This window comes from Homo sapiens, chromosome 15 (genome assembly GCF_000001405.40).
Source record: "Homo sapiens chromosome 15, GRCh38.p14 Primary Assembly".
Taxonomy (NCBI): Eukaryota; Metazoa; Chordata; class Mammalia; order Primates; family Hominidae; genus Homo; species Homo sapiens.
Genome location: NC_000015.10, coordinates 58,367,452 through 58,374,270, shown reverse-complemented (window position 1 = coordinate 58,374,270; position 6,819 = coordinate 58,367,452). Strand labels below are relative to the sequence as shown.

At 37.6% G+C, this 6,819-nt stretch overlaps 2 annotated features.

The window, feature by feature from the left end:
* Positions 2,155 to 2,355: a silencer, noted in NCBI's record as "peak2354 fragment used in MPRA reporter construct". NCBI's record gives its function as "represses an SCP1 promoter by STARR-seq MPRAs in K562 erythroleukemia cells {active_cell/tissue: K562}" and the evidence as "EXISTENCE:reporter gene assay evidence [ECO:0000049][PMID:32103011]".
* Positions 4,772 to 4,951: an enhancer, noted in NCBI's record as "active region_9469". NCBI's record gives its function as "activates an Ori minimal core promoter by ATAC-STARR-seq in GM12878 lymphoblastoid cells {active_cell/tissue: GM12878}" and the evidence as "EXISTENCE:reporter gene assay evidence [ECO:0000049][PMID:35858748]".

The window sequence follows — 6,819 nt, the reverse complement described above, 5'->3', positions numbered from 1 at the left end:
GGTCATAGGTTTGGTGATGACGTGAAAGAAACCTAAAATCTTGGAACCCAAAATCACTATGCCAAAGGGAAAGTTAAGCTTGGGAACTGAGTCCAATTACACAAAAAACTACCTTCCTTTTGTTTCCAGACAGATAGCTATAATTTCACATGCTTACATTATCTTATGTGGAATGCAGATTTACTTGAGTGTGAGATGAATGCATAATTGACTTTTCCCCCACTCCCCTCTTCTCATACGTGAAATGCAGATTCACTGAGCACTAATTAAAGCCTCAGGAGAATGTAACCACTTGCCTCACTGCCTACCTTCCCTCCTTTTTTATTTCCCTCTTCCCCTCCTCTCTGCCCTTTCCCCTTCAAATATTGAAGTTCCCCAAACCGTCTTTGGAAAAAGCACAAGTCACAGATCCTTAAGCTGTCCACAAACTTAGGGTCTTGAGATTTGAAACTTTAGGGGCCATGATGAAACCTAGCTTCAGGCAGTGTCCTTTATACTGGGCCCTACAACTGATATAAGATTAAAATTTCTTACTTTGTAGGCTTTTCACTAAAAATGAGAGTTACTAATAGTTAACACTGAAATCAATATATATTTTTAAAGCACTAGACGTAAGAGAAATAATTCTGTACACAAAATATAGAAGAAAAGTAGGATGTGCTTTTAGTAAAAGTATTATAAAAATACATGAAAATGTAATTTTTGTTAAAGGGAAAGTAATTTTGTCTAGACCAGAGGTTTTTAAGTATTTTTTTAAATTGAAGGAATAAAGAAATGATGGATAAAAGTGATTGGATGTAGAAAGTTGAAAAAAAGAAAATAGAAACAGATGATAAAATGTTATAAAAGCTTTATAGAAATCTTATAGTCAAACTGAGATTGATGGATTTGTTTATAAGATTTCATTTAAAAAATAGCTTTAGCATTAATAATACACTATGCAAAGGTAAAATCTGGTTTTCTCTTTTGAACAAGATTTTCATGTAATTTTAAGACATAGTAAAAGATTTTTGTTTACCTTTTGAGTAAGCTGCAAAAAAACTTGGAGAGGAGTCAGATTCACTCAGCTGTCTTTACTGGATCTTATTGTTTAGGACACTGAGTCTCCTCTCTGCCAAAAAGTAAAAAGATTTTGCTTTAAAAATCTTTTGAATTATCATTTTGGCTAAATGAATGACTTATTTTACAGTGACCTGTGATTCTATTTTGCATATCAAGTGTTTTAAACCTTTGATATTTGACAAATTTTCCAAAATCAAAATTTCAAGTTCTAAATTTAGCCTTTTTGACTTCATTAACTTCTTTTTAGATATTAGGTCCCCTGAAGTCCGAAACAGATATATCGGCTTACTTGATATGTTAAAATCATACAGGAAGCATTGACAAATATTATATGGTGTTTAATTTAACTTTCTTTGAATTTTATTTATGTAAATGTATTGTTAATATGTATTCTGAAATTATATGGGATTTCTATAATTCTGATATGTCTTAGTGTATGTCATCAATAATAATTATGATTATTATGCTAAATTATTGTATGCCATAGAAATTTCCTAATTTCCTTGTCAATTGTGTCTTTGATCATGGCCATCCTAAGAGTTTTATCATCCACAATTGTTTTACTTTGATCCTTCTCAAAAAGTGGTATAATCAACTATTGTCCAAGACTTGCTTCTTTAGGGAAGTCCACAGAAAGGATTCTGTTGGGTGCTCTTAAATGCGGGTTTCTTATAACCTTGGTGAGTGTGCCATTGAACTTGAGGAAAACAAAATGTTTACAGAACTCTCACTGAAGAACTAATGTGTTCGTGAGGTTTACTAACCTCAATATAAAATGGAATGAGTTAATTGCATGTGACTAAACTAATAGAGGACTGAAATAATTTTTATGACCTGTTTTCTTTGTCTGAAACATGGTTGATTCTTTTCATTTTGTTTCTCAGAGTCAATAAAGCTTTTTTTTTCTTTTGAGTCATTTACTTTTTAACAATTGAGTAAAGTATACTCTTGTGAGCAAAATTTGAATCATGTTCTTTTTCTCTACCTGATTTCTCCAGAATTTGGAAACTATTTGTGAGTATTCTTAATTTTTGGCAATATATTTATTTGCATAAGTTCAATGAGAGCCTTTTCTTTGTAATAGGACACAATTGGAGACACTGGTTATTTTACCAAGACTTTGACTTGAATGGCATATTTTCAGATACGAACAGACTGCTTTGAGGAATTAAAATTGACTTTATGGAGCTGATAAAAGCCCCTCAGAACTACTGGCCTCATATTTTGTCTATGTAGTTCCTTCACAGGGTTCCTGACCTGTGATAAGTAAAGAATGTCACTTTCTTTTTTTTTTTTTTTTGAGACAGAGTCTTGCTCTGTCACCCAGGCTGGAGTGCAATGGCGCAATCTCAGTTCACTGCAAGCTCCACTTCCTGGGTTCAAGCGATTCTCCCTGCCTCACTTTCTGACAGGCCCGGGAAACTCAAGTTATTTTGGGATCTTGAGAAGAGAGGAATTTACCCAATTCATACAGATACAGATAAATTCTCAGCTGGGCTTGAGAGGCCTTTAAAAATCTAATCTGAGATTCCTTATGAAAAAGCTCCAGCAAAGCCAATTCAAAAAGAGCCTATTGATCAATAATTATTCTGGCTGCACTTGATGCAAATGATCAGGCTAAGTATAATAAGACTAAAACTTATTTTGCAAATAAACTGGTCCTACTATAATTTATCTTTGGTAAAAATGGGGAACTGGAGAGAGAAAAATCATGTTTCAAAAGAAACTATAGTAAACCTGTTATTAGATTCTAGCCTTGTCTGTTTTTCAGTTTTTATTATTTGCCTACAATTTATCTGGACTGTACCTTGCATTCTTTCCTGACTACAAGTCTCCAAGCTAACATTTTCAAATTATTTTTTTCTCCCATTTTTCTAACTACTTGAAATCACTAGAAATTATGACTGTGCTTTTCTTAAAGCCCTACACACTAAAGCTAGGCAACTTAGACTTTGGGAGAAATAACAGCTATATGTATACACACACACACAAACACACACACATACATATACATATATACACACACACATATACACATACACTGTATGTATACACATACACATACATGTAACCTATGTATGTGTGTGTGCATTTATTTATTTATATCACCTTCCTGTCTGCCTACAGATGTATGGACTTCTTGGCCTTTTTGGTAATATAGCCTGAATCATGTTTTCAGGATTGCTTTCCCTTTGTTGTTATAATCTGGCCTTTTTGTCCTCCTTTTTTCCCTGCCCTTTTTTCTTTCTTTCTTCCTCCTTCTGTTTTGCTGTGTGGGACAGGAGACTTCATGTCCTCTTAGGAGTAAGCCCTCCTAGCCATATGAGACCTCACCTTCTAGGAGTAAATTAAACCATTCTAGATCTGAGGAATATGACTGAACCTGTGACCGCAGACTCATTTTCTTCTACAATGCTTTCTCCTAAAGATTTCGGAGAACGGGAAATGTGAAAGAAAAACAAAATCTCGGGATCCCAAACTCACTATATCAAAGGAAAAGTTAAGGTTGGAAACTTTTTTGGAGTCACACAAAAAACTACCTTCCTTTTATTCCCAAATGGATAGCTGTAATTTCACATGCTTACTTTATCTTATGTAAAATGTAGAATTACTGAGCTTGAGGTGAATGTATAATTGACTGTTTCCCCCATTCCTTTCTTTTCACTGAGTGCTAATCAAAACCTTACAAGGATGTAAACACTTGCCCCATTCCTTACCCTCCCTTTTTTTTCCCCTCTCCTTCCCTCCTGCTTGCTCTTTTGCCTTTAAATATTGAAATTCCTAAAACCCTTTTTGGAAAAAATACAGGTTACAGATCCTACTGTAACTTGTGTTTCTTTTTCCTGGGTGCATCCTCAACCTAGGCAAAATAACCTTCAAATTGAGATCTGCTTCAGCCACTTTTTGATTTACAATAGCAATACCTTGGCGTGACCAAGATTCTGCACCTGAGAGTGAACAGGTTTTGATGTAAGGCCCTTGGTTGGACTACTGCTGATGTGATAAGCTGTGCCTCTTCCCTTCTCGCCCTTCCTCCCACTTTGCTCTGGGATCTGTGGGTGATTACATTGCTCTGTGGAACGGTATCACTGTGGTTGGACTTCATTCCAACCAGGATACATCTTCACCTGCAGATATAGGGAACATCAATGGTTTAAGACTGTTCCCTTACTCTATCTAACCTACATGCATCCCAGGAAGAATAGTAAACCCCTAGTTACAAATAAAGAGGTCTAGAATCATAGTTGTCAAGGAATGATCTCTGGATTATGCAGCAAATCTAGTCTCTAAATGTGAAGCTGAAACTTGAACCCAGGTCTTCTGTATTCCTGTCATTTTCTCTGTACAACCCTGTGTCTCTATCAACCAAACCATCTACAAGCATCTGCAGGAATCTACTGGTTAGCAAGCATGCTCCCAGACATTTGGGGTGGGAGGAGATACAAATAGAAAAATAGAAAAATACCAGTTTACAGCTATATAAGAAAGCTGCTAGTAACAACTCCAGACCAGTGCTAACAGAGATACACACACACGCATGCACGCACACACACACACACACACACACAGAGACAGAGAGAGAGAGAGAAAGAGAAAGCAAGCAAGCAGGGGAGACGGGGGAGAGTCCGTGTGAGAGTGAGCTTGTTCACTGGAGTGGTCACAGAAGCTTGGATGGGCCTGGGAGGATTCAGTTCATTATTTACTCAGGCAACAAGGATGTGGTGAACCAGAATCTGGGCTGGGTACAGGAAAAAGGCTACATTCCTGCAGATATTGATGGTCTAGCTGGAGAGATATATGCGCCAACAAGGATTACAGTGAGTATAGCAAGTGCTACTGTAGAAGCCAGGGGTGCTGTAGGGCCCCAGAGAAAGGTGATGGACCCAACTGAGCACCAGGAGGAAGAGAGGATTTAGTAGGATATATGAGGCAGTGCAGTGATAATGTAAGGTGGCAGGTAGATCTGTAGGAGGGGCACCATGAGGGTACAAGTGAGCTGGAAGGAGGCGTGGAGAGAAGTGGGCATGGGGACTGGGGACACAGGGACTTCAGAGACACGTGGGATATGGGAGAATTTGCCTTGAGACTCTCACAGTGTCTTTCCAAACCTGTTGTACTTCACTGCATCCTTAGCATTCTCTCTCTTTTTTTTTTTTTTTAAACTTTAAGTTCTGGGATACATGTGCACAACGTGCAGGTTTGTTACATAGATACACGTACCATGGTGGTTTGTTGCACCCATCACCCTGTCATCTACATTAGGTATTTGTCCTAATGCTATCCCTCCCCTTGCCCCTGACTCCCTGACAGGCCCCAGTGTGTGATGTCCCTCTCCCTGTGTCCATGTGTTCTCATTGTTCAACTCCCACTTATGAGTGAGAACATGCAGTGTTTGGTTTTCTGTTCCTGTGTTAGTTTGCTGAGAATGATGGTTTACGGCTTCAACAATGTCCCTGCAAAGGACATGAACTCATCCTTTTTCATGGCTGCACAGTATTCCATGGTGTATATGTGCCACATTTTCTTTATCCATTCTATCATTGATGGGCATTTGGATTGGTTCCAAGTCTTTGCTATTGTGAATAGTGCCACAGTAAACATACGTGTGCATGTGTCTTTATAGTAGAATGATTTATAATCCTTTGGGTGTATACCCAGTAATGGGATCGCTTGGTCGAATGGTATTTCTGGTTCTAGATCCTTGAGGAATCACCACACTGTCTTCCACAATGGTTGAACTAATTTATACTGCCACGAACAGTGTAAAAGTGTTCCTATTTCTCCACATCCTCTCCAGCATCTGTTGTTTCCTGACTTTTTAATGATTGCCATTCTAACTAGTGTGAGATGATATCTCATTGTGGTTTTGATTTGCATTTCTCTAATGACCAGTGATGATGAGCTTTTTTTCGTATGTTTTTTGGCCACATAAATGTCTTCTTTTGAGGAATTTCTGTCCATATCCTTTGCCCACTTTTTGATGGGGTTTTTGTCTTTTTCTTGTAAATTTGTTTGAGTTCTGTGTAGATTATGGATATTAGCCCTCTGTCAGATGGATAGATTGCAAAAACTTTCTCCCATTCTGTAGGTTGCCTATTCACTCTAATGATAGTTTCTTTTTCTGTGCAGAAGCTCTTTAGTTTAATTAGATCCCATTTGTCAATTTGGGCTTTTGTTGCCATTGCTTTTGGTGTTTTAGTCATGAAGTCTTTGCCCATGCCTATGTCCTGAATGGTATTGCCTAGGTTTTCTTCCAGGGTTTTCATGGTTTTAGGTCTTACATTTAAGTCTTTAATCCATCTTGAGTTAATTTTTGTATAAGGTGTAAGGAATGGGTCCAGTTTCAGTTTTCTGAAGCCATTTTTCCCAAGGCCACTTATTAAATAGGGAATCCTTTCCCCATTTCTTGTTTTTGTCAGGTTTGTCAAAGATCAGATGGTTGTAGGTGTGTAGCATTATTTCTGAGGCCTCTGTTCTGTTTGATTATTCTATATATCTGTTTTGGTACCAGCAGCATGCTGTTTTGTTTACTGTAGGCTTGTAGCATAGTTTGAAGCCAGGTAGCGTGGTGCCTCCAACTTTGTTCTTTTTGCTAAGGATTGTCTTGGCTATATGGGCTCTTTTTTGGTTCCATATGAACTTTAAGGTAGTTTTTTTTCTAGTTCTGGCAACAAAGTATATGGTAGTTTGATGGGGAAAGCACTGAATCTATTAATTACTTTGGGCAGTGTGGCCATTTTCACAATATTGATTCTT